At 36.5% G+C, this 21,274-nt stretch overlaps 1 protein-coding gene across 11 annotated transcripts in view; it reads right to left on the reverse strand.

Annotated features, from left to right (window-relative positions):
• The window catches only part of ATRX (ATRX chromatin remodeler), a 281,337-nt gene that overhangs the window by 113,078 nt on the left and 146,985 nt on the right, over positions 1-21,274 (reverse strand). For all 11 annotated transcript variants that reach the window (XM_005262156.5, XM_005262157.6, XM_006724666.5 and 8 more), the window contains 6 exons: positions 17,958-18,099; positions 16,637-16,746; positions 15,609-15,755; positions 15,250-15,427; positions 2,438-2,575; positions 849-1,024 (listed from right to left, as the gene is read on the reverse strand). In XM_005262156.5, the coding sequence (XP_005262213.2) occupies positions 849-1,024; positions 2,438-2,575; positions 15,250-15,427; positions 15,609-15,755; positions 16,637-16,746; positions 17,958-18,099 (891 nt within the window). The remainder of the gene's footprint in view (positions 1-848; positions 1,025-2,437; positions 2,576-15,249; positions 15,428-15,608; positions 15,756-16,636; positions 16,747-17,957; positions 18,100-21,274) is intronic.

Consider the following 21,274-nt stretch of genomic DNA (forward strand, 5'->3'; position numbering starts at 1 on the left):
CACTGCAGCCTTGAACTCCTGGGCTCAAGTGATCCTCCCACCTTGGCCTCTTAAAGTGCTGGAATTACAGGTGTGCACCACTGTACCTAGCCTCTGTCCATTTTATCTATTTTTTAAAAAAATATTTTTGATCCATGGTAGGTTGAATCCATGGATGCAGAACCTGCAGATATGGAGGGCAAACTGTATATCCAACCAAAAGAATAGCCTGTCTCATTTGTTAAAACATCTTTGAGGCTATCATCAGTACCTAACATCTACAGAGAAAGTGCGTATCTTGAGATCTATTAACTGCCAGCTCAGTCTCTAGACACTTATCCATTCATTAATATAGATTCACTGAAAATCTGTATGTAAACGACACCACTAGTCTGTTCAGGTTATTATATATACTTGAAAGTAACAAAACTGTTTCTCCAGGATTACTTTAAAAGTGGCTCCTCTCTTAATTCATACTGGCCTCTCCTATAACCATTTCAAAAAAGTGAGATTTATAATACTGTACTACAGAATTAGGGTGAGCATAGGAACTTCATCATAGTAGCTATGTTCCTCTTAAGGAACTCCCTATCTTAAGGATGAAAAATCTAAACATTAACATAATAAGATATGAGGCTTTACACCTGGCAAATGAATCAACTATGTTTTAAACTCAGCGGAACTTCTTTTTTAAAAGTTGAATGCAGCAGAAATTTTTTAAGACAACGCAAGGAGATATAACTGTAAAACTATCTACTGAAAGAGCGGGAAAGAAAACACAAAATTATTAAACTTTAAGCTCAGAAAATATGTTGGGATTGTTATATAAAAAAGTAAGAATATTTTATTACTATGGAACATATTTGTACCTGAACACATCCAGCTAACATCTCATAGAGAATGTGAGCACGTTTTTTCATCACTCTGACATCTACCATGGTAGAATCTGCACACTGACCATTTTGAATTGGATTTATAAATCTATTCCTGAACTCCTTAATGGATCCAAGTAAATTTTCCTTGATAAAATTAACCATACAATGATCTAAGAGAGAAGACATTATTCATTAACAACATTAACAATCGTTAAAAAGACTTAGAAAAATTCCCCAATGAAATGCTCATGTCAAAAACACATGCATTAGAATTAAGCTATAAAGAAAGAATATCAAGCTAAGTATAGAATAAACATGGTTATAAGTCTGATCTACAAGTGAATTACCAAAACGAGAGAGAAAATTGAAGTAAAAACCATCCCTAAATACTAGACATGAACGTTTTTTAAAAATACCTAAGGACAGTTTATTCAAACTCACTATTATTCTTTATAAGAGATATGAAGTATAAAACAAGTGGTCCATTAATCTAACCATGATTTTATGGTCAGTGAGGCTATCTTGTGAAGAAAGGAGATACTAAGTCAAAACAATAAATAGGAGGTAATAAGCTACTAAGCAAGTTAATTTATATTAACTGATTCATTTCCAGAATAACCAAATAATATTTGAGAGATCAAATAATAACAACTGTTATTCAGTATTCAGTTGGGGCTACACAAATAGTAAAAAAAAAAAATTAATTACTAATGTATTTTGTAAGACTAACCCATTTTGTAAAAATTAACAGAGCCATCACTTGTCCCATACTATATAGGACCACAATATGAAACAGCATTTCTATAAATAGGGTAACAGAATAGAAAAGAGGAAAACTGGAACAGATAAAAACAAACATAAAGTATAGGCTAAAGTGAAATGACTAGTATTACAAATAATAAAATAGCAAAAAGTTACCATAAATACACTAAAGGAATGTAACACAGAGAAAAATAACAAAAAGCCATTACAGTGGGAAAAAGAAAAAAAGTGAGAGATTATAACAGGAAATTTCAATTAGTTACTTGCTGAATAATCTCATGTTCCCTTCTTTAGTGTCACCACAGACATACGAAAATGAGGGTAATTCACAAGTCATTTCCCTAGGTTCACATCAACTACCTTTAGCCTCAGCAAACTGTCCTGCCATGGATTCAGCAAACCTCTCCTTCTCCCATCTCCACTTTACTAAAATGTTCACAGTTCCCATTTCTTTCTGATTTCTTGACAGTACATGCCCCAAAACTGGAATATCCCCTTAAAATTATCTGGAGTAATCACATATGCTTATGTACTTTCTAAAGCAATCATTAAGACTTCTGATACTCTTGCAATAATTCACATTCCATATTTATATATGAACATTCACAATAGCGTATCTCTTAACTGTATTTTACCACTCATTTATAAAGCATCTCATTTGAAAAGTATGTTATTCTTTCACAGCAGACTAAGATGAACCTATGTAGATCATGGTCTAGGACTATACTAGAATAAGTAGAAGAAAGGTAAATGGTAACGTTACAAAAATATATCTGAGGAAATACCAATATTCTACTGCATAATCAGAGATATTAACTCACACTCAATTAGGTTATTTTGAAGTGGTGTTCCTGTTAAAATAATCCTCCTCCTTGATCGTATAGAATTCATAGCTTTAGAAACAGCAGATGCTTCATTTTTTAGAATATGGCCTTCATCACAAACAACAAAATCAGGGCCTACAAAAATAAACAGAAAAATAACACAATTAATATATAATAAAACTGAAAATGTGATCCATTTAAGTAAATAAAGTTAATCCCTTTAAAGTGCTGATCTTACAGGAAGATAAAATGACATCGTTGTAAGTATAAACATATTTTATCTGCTCCCGTATTTGGTTAATACAGCACTAACTATATTAATTATATCCAAATGGTAGAGCATTGAAATACCACTATAAATGGTAGTCAGGGTCCTCTGAGTTTACAAAAATAAGCAAAAATAAAAACAACAAGAGGGAAAAAGTTCCCCCAACAGACATAGCCTATTTTTAAAAATGTCTTTTAAAATTGAAAAGTCTTTAAAGCTATTTCAGCATTAGTATATCAACTTAAACTATCAGCAAAGACTAAGAGCAATGTATATATACATGAAAAGACAAATTTCAAAAGTTACACTTTAAGAATAATATATGTCACAACAGACCATATAATACTTCCCACTTAGTCCAAATAACTAACATTCATTGCTGGGGAAAAATTTTAACTGATAAAAGAAAGTGAAACTGGTTGTTACATGGGTATGGAGGGTAGGGAGAACAGCTTTTAAGCTATAAAAGATCTTAAAAGCTTAAACTCAGAAAATATTTGGGATTGCAATATAAAAAATAACAACATTTTATTACTATGGAATGCATTTGTACCTGAACAAATATGTTCCACAGCATCTGTGGACTCTTTTAGAAGAAATACTAAAGGCTTATTTGTTAAAATAACATACATATTTTTTTTCTTTTCTTTTCTTTTTTATTTGAGATGGAGTCTCCCTCTGTCGCCCAGGCTGGAATGCAGTGGCACAATCTTGGGTCACTGCAACCTCCACCTCCCGGGTTCAGGTAATTCTCCTGCCTCAGCCTATCGAGTAGCTGGGATTACAGGTGCCCGCCACCATGCCTGGCTAATTTTTTTGCATTTTTAGTAAAGACGAGGTTTCACCATGTTGGTCAGGCTGGTCTCAAACTCCTGACCTCAAGTGATCTGCCCGCCTTGGCCTCCCAAGTGCTGGGATTACCGGCATAAGCCACCACGCCCAGCTGATATATATTTTTTCCAGGGCATAATACATACTCTATTTGCTTGCTGGTTAACATATACACACATATTACTTAATTGCTGATTTCAACAAAGCAGCTGTCAAACTATCTCCCATCTGGTAAGCATTAGAGAAAATGCAACTTTTACATGACTTCAAAAGTAACAGCTTCAGTATGACAGATCAAATAATAACAACTGTTATTCAGTATTCAGTTGGGGCTACACAAATAGTAAAAAAAAACAACAACAACAACAACAAAAAAAAACTAATATTTTGTAAAACTAAAATCTCTAGCTTTGTATTTAAAAATTATGCATCCCTTACTTTGAATCTGAAAACATTTTCTACAGAGAAAAAAATGCCTTTTACAGCAGTGATTTAAATGGTTTTACCACTTAATATTCGGTATCCATGAGGATGCGTTGAAATGGGTACTCTCATACACTCTGTGGGAGTCTAAATTAGTATCAAAAATTTTGGAAGTCAATTTTACAATAATTATCAAAATGCAAAATGTGTAAACCCTTTGACCCATATTTCAATTTCTAGGAATTGGTCCCAAAGATACTCTTCCACAGGCACCCAAAGATACATAAAAGAATGTTCTCTGCAGCACGGTTTGTTACGGAGGAAAATTGAAAACAACCTAAAAATTTGTCAGAGGGGATCTGGTAAATGGGGCTTAAACCATGGGATAATGGAATAAGTCACAGAGTTAAAATTAATGAGGTAGACACACCCCCACTGGAGAAGCTGAAGGTCTGTTTGCTGGAGAAATTCCTGACTTTAGCTGGAGTTGAGTCAAGTTAGAAAGCCAAGCCGAGCGAAATACAGGGGTAGAGGAAGTAGCAGAAAGGCACTGGGAGCTTGCTGGATCCCCAAGCAGCCCATTCCTGCCTGGCAACACAGGGATCCATCAGGAGGATGGCCATCAGAGCAGAGGGTAAAACTCCACAGGGAGAAGGACTTCTCTAGCTGAACTTTTTAACAATTTGAATGGGGCAAGAAGCCTCCTGGCCAGAACTCCGGGGAGGGCGCAAATCCAGATTGCAGACTTCACAGGTGGGGGATGAACTAAAGCCCTTTTCTTTTGCAGCTTGGAGGTGGAAAGCCGGGGACAAGTTTTCAAGCCAGACTCAAACACACTCGGGGCTGTTTCGGCGCTGGAGGGGTAGGGGGTGCGGTACACCATGGGAGTGAGACAAGACCAGCCTTTCGGTTTGCGTGGGAGCTGAATACACCCACCTGAATACAATAATGACACAGCCTATCAAAACCTCTGGGATACAGCTGAGGCAGTGCTAAGAGGAAAGTTCATAGCCCTGAACGCCTACATCAAAAAGTCCGAAAGAGCACAAACAGACAATCTAAGGTCACTAGGAACTAGAGAAACAAAAACAAAACAAACCCAAACCCAGCAGAAGAAAGGAAATAACCAAGATCAGAGCAGTACTAAATGAAATTGAAACAAAACAAAACAAAAAATACAAAAGATAAATGAAACAATAAGCTAGTTCCTTGAAAAGATAAAATAAAATTGATAGAACATTAGCAAGATTAACCAAGAAAAGAAGAGAGAAAATCCAAATAAAGTCACTGAGAAACGAAACAGGAGATAGTACAACTGACACCACTGAAACACAAAAGATCATTCAAGGCTATTATGAATACCTTTACGCACATAAACTAGAAAACCTACAAGAGGTGGATAAACTCCTGGAAAAATACAACCCTCCTAGCTTAAATCAGGAAGAATTTGATACCCCGAACAGACCAGTAACAAGCAGCGAGACTGAAATGGCAATTTAAAAATTACCAAGAAAAAAAAGTCCAGGACCAGACCAATTCACAGCAGAATTCTACCAGACATTCAAAGCATTGGTACCAATCCTTTTGACACTATCCCACAAGACAGAGAAAGAAGTAACCCTCCCTAATTCATCCCTATTCATCACCGTAATAGCAAAACCAGGAAAGATCACGACCAAAAAAGAAAACTACAGACCATTATCCTCAATGAACATAGATGCTAAAATCCTTAACAAAAATATTAGCTAGCCAAATCCAACAACATGCCAAAAAGATAATCCACCATGATCAAGTGGGTTTCATATCAGGGATGCAGGGATGGTTTAACACATACAAGTAAATAAATGTGATACACCACATAAACAGAATTAAAAACAAAAATCACATGATCATCTCAATAGATTCAGAAAAAGCATTCGACAAAATCCAGCATCCCTATATGATTAAAACCCTCAGCAAAATCGACATACAAGGGACATATCTTAATGTAATAAAAGCCATCTATGACAAACCCATAGCCAACATAATACTGAATGGAGAAAAGCTGAAAGCATTCCCTCTGAGAACGGAAAGAAGACAAGGATGCCCACCCTCACCACTCCTCTTCAACATAGTACTGGAAGTCCTAGCCAGAGCAATCAGACGAAAGAAATAAAGGGGATCTGGGCCGGGTGCGGTGGCTCACGCCTGTAATCCCAGCACTTTGGGAGGCTGAGCGGGCAGATCACGAGGTCAGGAGATCGAGACCATCCTGGCTAACACAGTGAAACCCCGTCTCTACTAAAAATACAAAAAAAATTAGCTGGGCGTGGTGGCCGGTGCCTGTAGTCCCAGCTACTCGGGAGGCTGAGGCAGGAGAATGGCGTGAACCCGGGAGGCGGAGCTTGCAGTGAGCCAAGATCGCACCACTGCACTCCAGCCTGGGCGACAGAGCGAGACTCCATCTCAAAAAAAGAAAAAGAAAAAGAAAAAAAGAAATAAAGGGAATCCAAATCAGTAAAGAGGAAGTCAAACTGTCCCTGTTTGCTGACGATTATCGTTTACCTTGAAAACCCTAAGGACTCCTCCACAAAGCTCCTAGAACTGATAAAAGAATTCAGCAAGGTTTCCGGATACAAGATTAATGTACACAAATCAGTAGCTCTTCTATACACCAACAGCAACCAAGTGGAGAATCAAATCAAGAACTCAACCCCTTTTACAATAGCTGCATAAATAAATACATAAATAAATAAATAAACAAGAAAGATAGGAATATACCTAACAAAGGAGTCAAAAGACCTCTACAAGGAAAACTACAAAACACTGCTGAAAGAAATCATAGGCGACACAAACAAATGGAAACACATCCCATGCTCATGAATGGGTAGAATCAATATGGTGAAAATGACCATACTGCCAAAAGCAATCTACAAATTCAATGCAATCCCCATCAAAATAACACCATCATTCTTCAGAGTTAGAAAAAACAATTCTAAAATTCATATGGAACCAAAAAAGAGCCCGCATAGCCAAAGCAAGACTAAGCAAAAAGAACAAATCTGGAGGCATCACACTACCTGATTTCAAACTATTCTGTAAAGGCCACAGTCACCAAAAAAGCTTGGTACTGGTATAAAAATAAGCACACAGACCAATGGAACAGAATAGAGGACTCAGAAATAAACCCAAATACTTAGAGCCAACTAATCTTCGACAAAGCAAACAAAAACATAAAGTGGGGAAAAGACACCCTTTTCAACAAATGGTGCTGGGATAATTGGCTACCCACATGTAGGAGAATTAAACTGCATCTTCGTCTCTCATCTTATACAAAAATCACCTCATGATGGATTAAGGACTTAAACCTAAGACCTGAAACTATAAAAATTCTAGAAGATGAGATTGGAAAAACCCTTCTAGACATTGGCTTAGTCAAGGATTTCATGGTCAAGAACCCAAAAGCAAATGCAATAAAAACAAAGATAAATAGCCGGGACCTAATTAAACTAAAGAGCTTTTGCATGGCAAAAGGAACAGTCAGCAGAGTAAACAGACAACCCACGGAGTGGGAGAAAATCTTCACTATCTATACATCTGACAAAGGACTAATATCCAGAATCTACAATGAACTCAAACAAATCAGTAAGAAAAAAACCAAACAATCTTACCACAAAGTGGGCTAAGAACATGAACAGACAATTCTCAAAAGAAGATATGCAAATAGCCAACAAACATATGAAAAAATGCTCAACATCACTAATGATCAGTGAAATGCAAATCAAAAACACAATGTGATACCACCTTACTCCTGCAAGCATGGCCATAATCAAAAAACAGTAGATGTTGGTGTGAATGCAGCAATCAGGGAACACTTCTACACTGCTGGTAGGAATGTAAACTAGTACAGCCGCTATGGAAAACAGTGTGGAGATTCCTTAAAGAACTAAAAGTAGAACCACAATTTGATCCAGCAATCCCACTACTGTGTATCTACCCAGAGGAAAAGAAGTCATTATTCAAAAAAGATATTTGCACATGCATATTTATAGCAGCACAATTCACAGTTGCAAAATTGTGGAACCAGCCCAAATGCCCATCAATGAATGAGTGGATAAAGAAATTGTGGCATATATATATATATATATATATATATATATATATATATATATATATATATATATATGATGGAATACTACACAGCCATAAAAAGGAATGAATTAACAGTATTTGCAATTACCTGGATGAGACTTGGGACTATTATTCTAAGTGAAGTAACTCAGGAATAGAAAAGCAAACATCAAATGTTCTCACTGATATGTGGAAGCTAGGCTATGAGGACACAAAGGCATAAGAATGACACAACGGACTTTGGGGACTTTGGGGTAAGAGTAGGAGGAGGGCAAGGGATAAAAGACAACATATATGGTGTAGCATATACTGCTCGGGTGATGGATGCACCAGGATCTCACAAATCACCACTAAAGAACTTACTCATGTAACCAAATACCACCTGTACCCCAATAACTTATAGAAAAATAAATAATCTGAAAAAATGATGTATATCTCTATGTGCAAACCTTGAAAGATATGACAAATATATTACTAAATAAAAAGGAGTGTGTTGCAGAATAGTTATCCATATTATGATCCCATTTGTATATTTTTGCTGTAATAAACCATAACCATGAGTCTAATGGATTTTCTGAGTTCTGTGAGTCCTTCTTATGAGTTACCAAGCCTGAGGGTGGCTTTGAGGACCACCTAAATGTTGCAATACCAAATAAGGAGAATACATGCTTCTGTAAGCACAAAAAATTCCTATACGGATATAAATGAAACAATAATGAGACTAGGAGGTAGGGAACTTTTACTTTTCAATATACAACATTTTCTTCTGTTTTTATTTTGCTTAAGGATATGTATTACTTTTATAATTTCTTTAACTTAAAAGAACTATTTGTTGGCATGGCAATGGAAGGAGAGTGGTAGCCCTATGGTTAGTACGGATATCTGAAGAACTAGAAGAATTAAGAATAAAAGTAAGCCAGGCGCGGTGGCTCACGCCTGTAATCCCAGCACTTTGGCAGGCCAAGACGGGCGGATCACGAGGTCAGGAGATAGAGACCATCCTGGCTAACACGGTGAAACCCCGTTTCCACTAAAAAAATACAAGAAAAAAAAATTAGCCAGGCGTGGTGGCAGGCGCCTGTAGTCCCAGCTACTCGGGAGGCTGAGGCAGGAGAATGGCGTGAACCCGGGAGGCGGAGCTCGCAGTGAGCCGAGATCGCGCCACTGCGCTCCAGCCTGGGTGACAGAGTGAGACTCCGTCTCAAAAAAAAAAATTAAATAAAATAAAAATAAAAGTAAATGCACTCATTAATAACCCTGAGTCAATGAAAAAGTTAAAATTGTTATTCATATATTAAACATGTTATTCATCATATTAAATAGAATATGAATTATAAGATAGAAATGTATATAACATTTACTAACATAAAAAATTAAAAATAAGTATTTTTAATGTTCGAAAGGAGTAAGTTTTAGCTGGACTTGGTGGCTCACACCTGTAATGCCAGCTACTACTCAGGAGGCTGAGGCAGAAGGATTGCTTGAGGCCAGGAGGCCAAGACTAACCTAAGCAACATAACGAGACCCTCGTCTCCAAAAAATTAGTTGTGTGTCAGGAGTTCGAGACCAGCTTGGGTAACATAGTGAGATCCTCATCTCCAAATAATTATCTAGGTGTTGTCAGGAGTTCGAGACCAGCCTGGGCAACACAGTAAGACCCTGTCTCTACCAAAAAAAAAAAAAAAAATGTAGTTGGGCATGGCGGCACACTCCTGTAGTCTTAGCTCCTCAGAAGGCTGAACTGGGAGGATCACTTGAGCCCAGGATTTGAAGCTACAGTGAGCTATAATCATGCTACTGCACTCCAGCCTGGGTAACAGAATGAGATCCCCATCTCCCTGCCCCCTAAATACATACATACATACTTACATAAAATGAAATGTTTGTTACCTTATATACTTTCTAGAAAACTTAATTCCCAAACAATGACATATATATATCAGATAGGAGGGTTTCAAAATACCTACACTTATAAATAATTATACAGAAACTACAGGGGGAATGGCAGCCATGAGGCTCTGGAGAGCAGAAGAACAGGAATTTAGAGAAAGACTTGAAGAAAATTTCTTCTGTTCAAAAATTCAAGCCTGACTAAAAGAGTCTGTTAACTTAAGATGGTTCAATACACTATGGAAACCTGTCATTATTTTATAAAATTACATAGATATATCTTATTGCTTAAAGCAAACAGTACCTTGAGTTAATCCTGTGCATATGCACATTCATGCACACACATAAAAATTATGTCCTCTCAAGCTACAAAATGTGGAACATTCTTCTAAAAACAGTAATGTGAATTAGAAAACTCCACCAGATTGTTTAAGTACATTAAGTAGAAAAATATGCCTCAAAACAAATGGTAAGTTAGGGAAGAAAGGTCAAATAAAGGTTTTGTCACATGCTATTATAATAGTAACAAATGCAAATTATTTTTCAGTGTTACATTGCCACCTATTGGTGAATTTTTTTACATAAAAAACCATAAAGATATTAGAGAGAAAAGTTGATAAAATGTTTAGAACTGTCCAAGTAAACCTCTATTAAATCCCTGACCCAGTAAAACTAGGAAAGTTAACAAAATGTTGTCACTTTCTTTTTTAAGAAACTGGGTCTCACACTCTGTGATGATTATGATCTCAGTGATCATAGTTCACTGCTTCCTTGAACTCCTGGACTCAAGCAATCATCCCATGTCAGCTTCCTGAATAGCTGAGACTACAGGTGTGTGCCACCACACCTGGTTAATTCTTTTATTTTTTTGTAGATATGGGGTCTCACTATGTTGCCCAGGCTGGCCTCAAACTCCCAGCCTCAAGCAATCCTCCTGCCTTGGCCTCCCAAAGTATTGTTATTACAGGTATGAGCCATTGCACCCAGCTGATTCTTGTCACTTTAAGCTACTAAGGCTTGGGATAATTGTTACGCAGGAAGAGATAACCAGAGCAGCTAAGTTGAAAGATGAACACTACTATCTTAACTCTGGTCAGCTCTAAACACTGTTTCCAATCCTAATACATACTCCCAATTTTCCAGGCTTCTGATCTAATAGCCTACCTTATAAGTTTACAACCTCAGCTCATCCTTAAGAATCTCATACCCAAAACTGTCTGGTTCTGACATTTTGTTTCCATCTTGAACTTCAATTTAGACTTTTCTTTAACATTACACCCAAACTTCAGTCTTCACATACTCTGCTGCCATTTATATGATTCTTCACTATCACTAATTTGTTCCAAATCAGAGAAGATAAATTGGGCATAAAATGGAAAACATGTACTGGAAAATTAAGTGTTATACTGAACAGATCCCTTCTAATAAATTTAGAAGTACTGAACAGATCCTGACACTTTAGACTTAGGTGGCAAAGAAAATTATATCTAGATACTATCACTAAACCTTAAAACTTAACAACAGTTTTAATATATTCCATGTTATACATGATGGATATTAGAATATTCTTGTTGCAGATGGTTACCCAGCTATGGCAGAGGAACTATCTCTAATACTTATATATACTCTGGAAAAGAAAATAAAAGTAGAGCTTCAGTTTCCTGAAGAACATCCAGTAAAACCTAATGGAGAAACCAGCCCCTCTTAAGTTTTAACAAGGGTAATCTAGGTATTTATTTTTTTAATTATCAAAACAAACAAAAAATATAACCCAATGTAGAACTTACTCAACCTGATAAAAGACACCTATTAGAAATCCACAGCTAATGTCATACTTAATGGTGGAGAACTGAAAGCTTTCCCTGAGATCAAAAACATGACAACCAACTGCTCTGACCACTTACGTTCGACATTGTATGGAAATTTCTAAGAAGGGCAATTAGGCAAGAAAAAGAAGTTGAAGATATTCATATTGGAAAGGAAAAAGTAAAACTATTTCTACTCATAGACTATGATTTTCTTAATAGAAAACTAAATCGCGTGCGTGCGCGCGCACACACACGCGTGAGCGCACACATACAACTATTAGAACTTATAAATGGACTCAACTAAGTTGCAGGATACAGAATCAGTATACAAAAATCTGTTGTATTTCTATACACTAACAAAGAATTATCTGAAAATAAAATTAAAACAATTTTATTTCCAAAAGGCTCAAAAAGAATAAAATATTTAGGAATAAATTTAAGAAAATAAGTCCAAGACTTTTACACTAAAGAAATTAAAGGACCTAAATCAAATTTCATTATTAAAAGAAATTAAAGACCTAAATAAACGGAGAGAAATTAGATGTTCATGGAGGGGAAGATTTAATATTGTTAAGATGGCAATATTCCTCAAATTAATCTACAGATTCAATGCAATATCTAACAGAATCCCAGCTAGTTTCTTTGAGGAAATATAAAAGCCAATCATCAAATTCAAATGAAATTTCAAGGAACCTCAAATAGCAAAACAACTTTGAGACAGAAAAATAAAGCTGTAGGACTTCTTCCTGATTGCAAAACTTACCACAAAGCTACAGTAATTAAAACAATGTCACACTGGCATAAGGACAGACATATAGATCAATACAATAATATTGAGAGCCTAGAAATAAACACATACATCTATGGTCAATTGATTTTCAACAATGGTGTCAAGACTCTTCAATGAAGAAAGAATAGTCTTTTCAACAAATGGTGTTAGAACAACTGGATATCAAAATACAAAAAATGAAGTTGGACTCCCACCTCATGCCATATACAAAAATAAACTGAAAATAGATCATAAACATAAATACAAGAGCTAGAACTATAAAATAAGAAAACACAGGTGAAAAAATTCATGACCTTCGATTAAGCAATGAATACTTGGATATGCACTAAATGCAAAAGCAACACAAGAAAAAAATAGGTAAATTAAATGTAATCAAAATTTTAAAGATTAGTACTGAAAAGATGATATAAAAAAGTAAAAAGACAACTCACAGAATGGAAGGATATATTTGCAAATTATATGGGTGTGTTTACATTTGTAAATGTCAATTTTCAGTAAAAGGAACCATGATGTCTTCAAGAAATGGCTGATTCTGGGGCCAGGACAATATAACATGAACCTGGAGCATCCTGTAATGCCAGAAAGTAATAAAGTGCTCAAAGCCAAAAGGATAGGGACATATCAAAGGGTAGAGGACCTCACCTTAAAAAAAGCTCCCAATGGTCAAAGTGAAACAATTTGAGCAAAAAAAAAAAAAAAATGCAGTAATGGTTTATAGTCCAATGCACGAACTAAAAATAGATGAGTATATAATTATATAAATCAAAGGCTAAATAAATGGGTAAGAAAAGATAATTTTTTCTTTAAAAAAATCCAAATTTTATGTGTAGATATTACCCACTATAGGAGATACAGCTTAATTTCCACCATCCTCCCATTCAGGTGGGCTAGATTGAGTGACTGGATTCCAATGAACAGATGAGGGACAGGTAAAAGTAGCAGCTCTACAGGAGAGAAACCTGACAAACTCTACCCTAGCCAAGTGATGAAAGTTAACATCATCAGTAACAGCAAGTGCTTATCATGTACCCCCGATATGAGATATGATGTGACAAAAAGGGTATGTCACCTCTGGTATATTCTTTCAAAACCTCAGTCTAATCTCAGTCTAATCACAAGAAAAACTATAAATTCAGATCAGAGAACACTCTACAGGATATCTACCTGGACGGTCCTCCTTAAGACTGATGAGATAATGAAAAAATAAAGATTGAGAAACCGTCATAGACCAGAAGACTGTTAGAGACATGACAGCTAAATACAATGTAGAACCCTGGATAGAAAAACTGGTGCAATACAAATGCAGTTTGAAGTTATTAATAATAATGTGTCAATTTCTTAGTTTTGACAAATCTACCATGGCAATGTAAGATGTTAACAATTGAGGAACCAGATGTAGGGTATATGGGAACTCTCTGCACTACCTTTTCAACTTTCATGTAAACAGAAAATTATTCCAAAATGAAAAGTTTTTTTTTGTTTTTTTGTTTTTTATTTTTGAGATGGAGTCTCGCTCTGTCACCCAGATGGGAGTGCAGTGGCACAATCTTGGCTCACTGGAACCTCCAGCTCCCAGGTTTGAGCGATTCTTCTGCCTCAGCCTCCTGAGTAGCTGGGACTACAGGAGTGCACCACCATGCCCGGCCAAAAATTTTTTTTAAATGTCACTAAATGATAAAATATGGCAATGACAAATGTTACCCTTCATGTTAGAAGCTTTAATTTTTTTTTTCTTCATTTTTTTCATGAACAAATAAGTACACTAAGCACCTGAAACTGTTGTATTAAACAGTTTCAAGGAAATCTTGTGGAAAAAATCTGCTACAATGATACTAGACACTAGCTTATAATTTTTCAACAATAAACCAGCCACAAGATTTATAAACACCTATTTAATCGTGGGAAAGAGATAAACTTATTATTAGGCCTTAGATTTGTGATGGCAGTTATTTTGCTATGTATTAACTACCTCATTATCTTTAAAAAAGAGGCAAAGCCAAGGATTCTAAAGATTACTATCACTTTGACAATGACAATTACCCAGACTTTCTCAACAAAAATAAAACCTCAATAGTGTCTTAAATATGATATGACAAGATAAACATATGAAGAAAAAGTTGCACAAATTAATAATCGTAGATTAAAAAATAATTTTAGTTTTGCAGACAGTACAACGTGTTGCTTTTCCAAGTGGCAAATATATCAACATCTGGCTCTCACATCAGATTACTATCACATAAGGATCAACAGTATTGAAAATATTAACCTTTCATACTGATGGCCCCTTAAAAGGAGATAAGCAAGCAGCAATTCTTCTAATGACATGAAGTTTGGAAAGACACAAACTGTTTTCAGGATATGGAGAGAGCTCTTGTTATCACCTAATATTTGGATAGCTGGAAGAATCTTTGATTGCAACACAGGCATTTGATGCATTTTTAAGTGTTTACAAGGTATCCCCTAAAACCCTAAACACTTTCAGACTCAGCAAATAAATTCTGAACAGCTGGCGACATTAAGGGTGATTTTATTCTATTGAAATACTAAGAATTTTCTAAAAGGCAAAAACCTGAAGGATAACCACAACAAAGACCAGATACTTAGTAGCTGTGCAATTACTATTTGTTAAAATATAAACACATTTTTTATTCAACTTGCTTCTTTATGTCACTGTCTATTAATACCTTACCTGGATCAACCAAAGCTTTGTTAAATATTTCTTTAAGTTTCCGACTCTTCACATTCCTTCCTTGAGCAAGATTTCTATACATCTCATAGCCTATGATCATAACACCACCATCTTCTTGCCACCTCTGCAGCATGTAGCTTCTCTCCTGAGGACGTTTCACAGTTGCTAATTCAGAAACCTTTTGTGGGGAAATAAAGATTTTTTTAAGTAGCTACTAAAAACATGTGAATATTAAATATTCCCACTGAAATATGCATCACTGGTTAAAAAACATTAAAAATTAAAAAAAATTAAAAATAGTTTACTATATGAATTTCATGTGACTATTTTAATAATAGAAAACATTTAAAATAAGTTACCTCAAGCTTCTCATCATCTTTTAATCCCTCTTGCCACTTCTCAAATTCATTCATCCAATTCAAAGCAGTATTAAGAGGACAAACCACTAACGCCGTGCTGAAATCCAGTTTGTCACACAAAAGAACTGTATGAAGAAAACTTACCACCTATAAGAAAACAGATTGTCACCTTCGTTTAAATATCCACAAAAAAATTTAATAAATTAAGCAATCTTACAATATTATAGCTTTGTTTTGCTTAAACAATAAACGGCCAGAATTTCCAAACCAGGCAAGGCACAGGGAAAGAGATAGTAAAATGCCAAAGTTCAACTAGATGATGTATCAGGCTCTTCCAACTCTAAAGCTCCATGATTCTATGATCAATGTGAATAGTATAAAATGATCCCATACCAATACTAAGTCCTAGGTCTCCACAGAATGTCCCTATAGTCTTTCAAAAAATACCATCGCTCATTTAGAAGAGAATCATGTTACATAATATTTTTCCACTTTAATGTGTTCTGACCCATTAAATCTATAATTACTTTATGGTTTAAAAGTACAAATACATTCACCAATTTTACATCTCTGCTACAACTCCTGCCATTTAGAAATGCAGCAATTTTAATAGTAAAAGATACTTTACTTTGTCATTACTTTAACATCATAAACCGTTAAAAGTTGTAAAAAAAAAAAAAAAAAAAAAAAAGGTAATTTCTACCTTAGAATCTTTGCAGTTGTTGTTGGCCATACCTGAAACCCCACAGCCTCGCTTCATTAGGACCTCTGCTCAAACATTACCTCCTAAAAGATGCCTTTCCTAACTCAATATCCTCCCTTAACATTCATTTTCTGAAAGTACATATTTCTTATTTGATTAGCAGCTCTCTCCTCCACTAGAATATAAGCTCCTTGGAGACAGATCTTGTTATTCTTGTTCACTGCTTTATCTTCAGCCCCTACGACTGTGCCTGAAACATAATAGAATCCAATATATATTAATGAATCCACAAAAACAGGATACCTTCATATTCTTCAGCTCTTACCTGTAAAGTCTTACCAAGGCCCATACAGTGGGCAAGAATGCATCCTGAACCTGGAGATTTCTTTGTTTTTTTCACAGACTCACAGCAGCAATCCCACATAAACTGAACACCTAAAAATAACAGCTTCATTAAGTTAAATTTAAAGGTCCAAGTTAAAAACTTCCTTTACATAAACACATCAAAAACATAACCAAAACTTCTAAGAAACAGCATTAAAAAAACACTTAGCTAAATAATTTCTTACATCTAAATGGGATTTTTTCCCACCAAACTAAAGCAGAAACAAGTTAACACAAACATAGAACAGGGGGACTTTCCTTCATCTTCTCTAAGCTATCCACAGTAGATGTTCTGTATTCCCTGAGATGGTTCAAAGAAACATAAGAATACTCTAAAAGAGAAACGTGGCCGGGCACAGTGGCTCACGCCTGTAATCCAAGCACTTTGGAAGGCCGAGGCGGGTAGATCACTTGAGGTCAGGAGTTCGAGACCAGCCTGGCCAACATGGTGAAACCCCGTCTCTACTAAAATACAAAAAATTAGCTGGGCGTGGTGGTGGTGTGCACCTGTAGTCCCAGATACTCAGGAGGCTGAGTTGGGAGAATCACTTGAGGCCAGGAGGCAGAGATTGCAGTGAGCTGTTATAGCACCACTGTACTCCAGCCTGAGTGACAGAGCGAGACTCCATCTCAAAAAATAATAATAATAATTTTTGTAAAAAGAGAGCAACTTTATCCAAAAAGAGAATGGCTTCCTATCAAAAATACCTTTGAGTTTATTGAGTCAATCAGGAAAAAAAAACCCATGAGATAATTTCATCATCTTTTCCTTTATTCGATAGTAAACACTGAGCAAGAAAGGGGACTAGCAACTCAAAAGGTAGGAACTACAGAACCTCCCTTATGATTAATTCACATAAACACTCAAAACTGACTTACTGATTCAACTCTAATAAAGAAAACATACCTAAAAATGCTGAAATAGCATTTTCTGAAAAAGGCTTTTAGCTAGCTACAGCTCTTCCCAACCCCTAGCTGCCCTTAGGCCAGTCTTTGCTAATTAGGTGAAACCTACTTGCTATATCTACCCATTTGTAAGTAGCACTTCTTTCTCTTTTTATAACGCTCATTGTGTTTGAAATCACCCAATTTTGTTCTTCCTCATTTGTTTATGAGCTCCATAAAGGCAGGGGAATTGTGGATTCCCCACCCCACTCACCAATTTACCTCCAGGACTTAGCAGGATGTGAGGCAGCTGCCTCACACCCAAATATTGGTAAAAATTTAACTAAAAATTATTGAATCATCTAATAGTTTCTTACCATCTACTTGATGGGGTTTCAATTTGATAACCATATTTCTATGAACCTGCACTAAAGGTTCTTTGGTTTCTTCATCTTCATCTAAAACCAACTTGGTTGTTATTGGACACTTGGTGGGTGAAGCATCTTCAATTTCTATCACCTACAAGAAAAGGAGTTGTTGATAGTTAAGCTCAAAGAAATCATTCAAGCAATGGTCAGTCTTACCAAGGGAGATTTTCCAAAATATAGACACATTTACTCCCACACCACAAATCCAATTGGTATGATTTGGATCTGTGTCCCCACCAAATCTCATGTTAATTGTAATCCCCAATGTTGGAGGTGGGGCCTGGTGGGAGGTGGCTGGATCATGAAGGTGGATTTCTCATGAATGGTTTAACACCATCCCCTTTGGTGCTATTCTTGTGACAGTGAGCGAGTTCTCACAAGATCCAGTTGTTTAAAACTGTGCAGCACCTCTCCCTCACTCTCTTGCTCCTGCTCCCACCATGTGAGGTGCCTCACTCCCCCTTTGCTTTCTGCCATGATTGGAAGCTTCCTGAGGCCTCCCCGGAAGCAGAAGCCACTATATTTCCTGCACAGCCTGCAAAACCGTGAGTCAATGAAAACTCTTTTCTTTATAAATTACCCAATCTCAGAACTAATACACTACTATTTTGCTTCAATAAAGCCAGGACAGAGCCCAGGGTTTTATGTCTTCTAAAATCAAAACTCTCCAAAAAATTTTAAATCACTCTGATAATGTCAGTAATTTAGCTCAACAGATCTCACCCTGGATATTTCAACAACATTTATTACACAGAGTTGTGAAAAAAGCAGTGTTCCCTGTTGTTGGTTGCTATGCCAAAAAAAAAAAAAGAAGAAAGAAGGAAGAAGAAGGAGAAGGAAGAAGGAGGAGGAGGAGGAAGCAGGAAGGAGGAAGGAGGTGGAAGGAGGAGGAAGGAGGGAGGAGGAGGGAGGAGGAGGAGGAAGAAGAAGAAAGAAGAAGAAGAAGGAAGAAGGAAGAAGGAAGGAGGAAGGAGAAGGAAGAAGGAGGAAGGAGGAGGAAGAAAAAAGAAGAAGGAAGAAGAAGGAAGGAGGAGGAAGGAGGAAGAAGGAGGAGGAAGAAGAAGGAAGGAGGAGGAAGGAGGAGGAAGAAGAAAGAAGAAGGAGGAAGAAGGAAGGAGGAGGAAGAAGACAGTCCCAAACAAGAACTGTGCGACTCAGGATGTCAACATGACTACCACTGAAAAACACTGTAAATACATGATGTGAAAAGAAAAAAATATTTAGAAACACTGGTTTCAGAACCACAGGCTCAAAAATCATGATAGGAACATATAATACCTTCTAATTACAAAACGGAAACAATTATCACAAGCTCCTTATTTAGAATAAAACTTAAGTAGATATAATATATGCACACAGGTAACAAGTGTGTGTGTGCATATATTTTTTGCTGTCTTATCCTAATCTCTATCCGTTACATAGTATATTCAGTAACTACGCAAGATAGGTACAAGTATTACCATTTGACAGATGAAAAAACTGAGGGACAGAGAAGTAAAGTAACCTGCACAAGGTCATACGACTATTGAGTATCATGACACTGAGATTTACCCAGAGGGTTGATCCCCCGAGTCCATGCTCTTAAACATTACAAAATACTAGTTTAGTAAAATAAATGCTTGTGATAAACAGTTTTATGGTTCCATGAAAAAAAAATAGAAACTCGTGATTTTAAAATCATAAAAACATTACGCAGTTGGGCACGGTGGCTCACTCCTATAATCCTAACACTTTGGTAGGCTGAGGGGGATGGATCGCCTGAGGTCAAGAGTTCAAGACCAGCCTGGCCAACATGGTGAAACCCTGTCTCTACAAAATATACAAAAATTAGCCAGGCTGGTGGCGGGCGCCTGTAATCCCAGCTACTCTGGAGGCCGAGACAGGAGAATGGATTGAACCTGGCAGCGGAGGTTGCAATGAGCCGAGATCGTGCCACTTCATTCCAGCCTGGGTGAAAGAGCAAAGCTCCATCTCAAAAAAAAAAAAAAAAAAAACACAAACAAACAAAAAAAACTTTAAAAAAAAATTAAAAAACAAAAATTACAATGGTGAAGAAATAAAATTTTAGGCACTTTTTTCTTATTTACAATTAAAACTAGTTAACAAATGAATTTGTTAATGTTCAATATAGAAATTTTCAAACATACACAAAAGTAGATGGAAGAGAATAATAAATCCTATTACCCATCACTCAGCTTCAAAAATTATCAACTTAAGGCCGGGCACGGTCACTCATGCCTGTAATCCCAGCACTTTGGGAGGCCAAGGTGGGTGGATCATGAGGTCAGGAGTTTGAGACCAACCTGGTCAATATGGTGAAATCCCATCTCTACTAAAAATACAATAACAACAACAAAATTAGCCAAGCGCAGTGGCGCGCGCCTATAGTCCCAGCTACTCAGGAGGCTGAGGCAGGAGAATCGCTTGAACCTGAGAGGTGGAGGTTGCGGAGAGCCGTGATTGCGCCACTGCACTCTAGCCTGGGCGACAGAGTGAGACTCCGTCTCAAAAGAAAAAGAAAATTATCAACTTAAGGCCAGTTTTGTTTCACTGACAGCATTTTACCCATTGTCCAGTTCCCCAGATCCCACAAATCATTTTGAAGCGAACACAAGAAAATATGCAATGTCATCTATAAAATGTTTGTAAATGTCTCTTTAAAAGGACACTTCCTCTTTGTAAAACCATACGATCATTGTCACATCCAAAAAACTACAAATAAGTCACAGATTTGCAGTAAATTATCTGAATAGATATTGTACTTACATAAAATTGTGATATACAAACCAAGATTAACGCTGAGAAACAGTGTGGTGAAGTAAAAATAGCATAGGCCATTCAGACCCAAATTCCATTTCATCAAGCTACCTAAACCCTCTTAGCTTCTGTGTCTGAATCTGCAAACTGGGAATGATTATCAATAGTTTCCACAAGGTTGTTCTGGAGACTGAATAAGGCAATGTATGCAAAGTATCTGGCATAGGCTAAGTATTCACTAAATTATTACTGTGTCCTAGCCTGGATATGTAGTAGCTTCATATCACTGGGGTAAAGCCATTATATAAAAATGGAAAATTCCCTAAATGTCTTGTCCTGTTTACAAGGTGTGGTACACAGAATCCTAAAATGGCCCCAGAATTACCGTCATCTGATATAAACACCCTGCATAATCCCCTCACCTTCTGAGTATGGTTGAGACCTGTAAATATGATTGGGCTATCATTCGCATAATTGGCCCACTAATAAGCTGACTCTGATTTAATCAA

This window comes from Homo sapiens, chromosome X (assembly GCF_000001405.40).
Source record: "Homo sapiens chromosome X, GRCh38.p14 Primary Assembly".
NCBI lineage: Eukaryota > Metazoa > Chordata > Mammalia > Primates > Hominidae > Homo > Homo sapiens.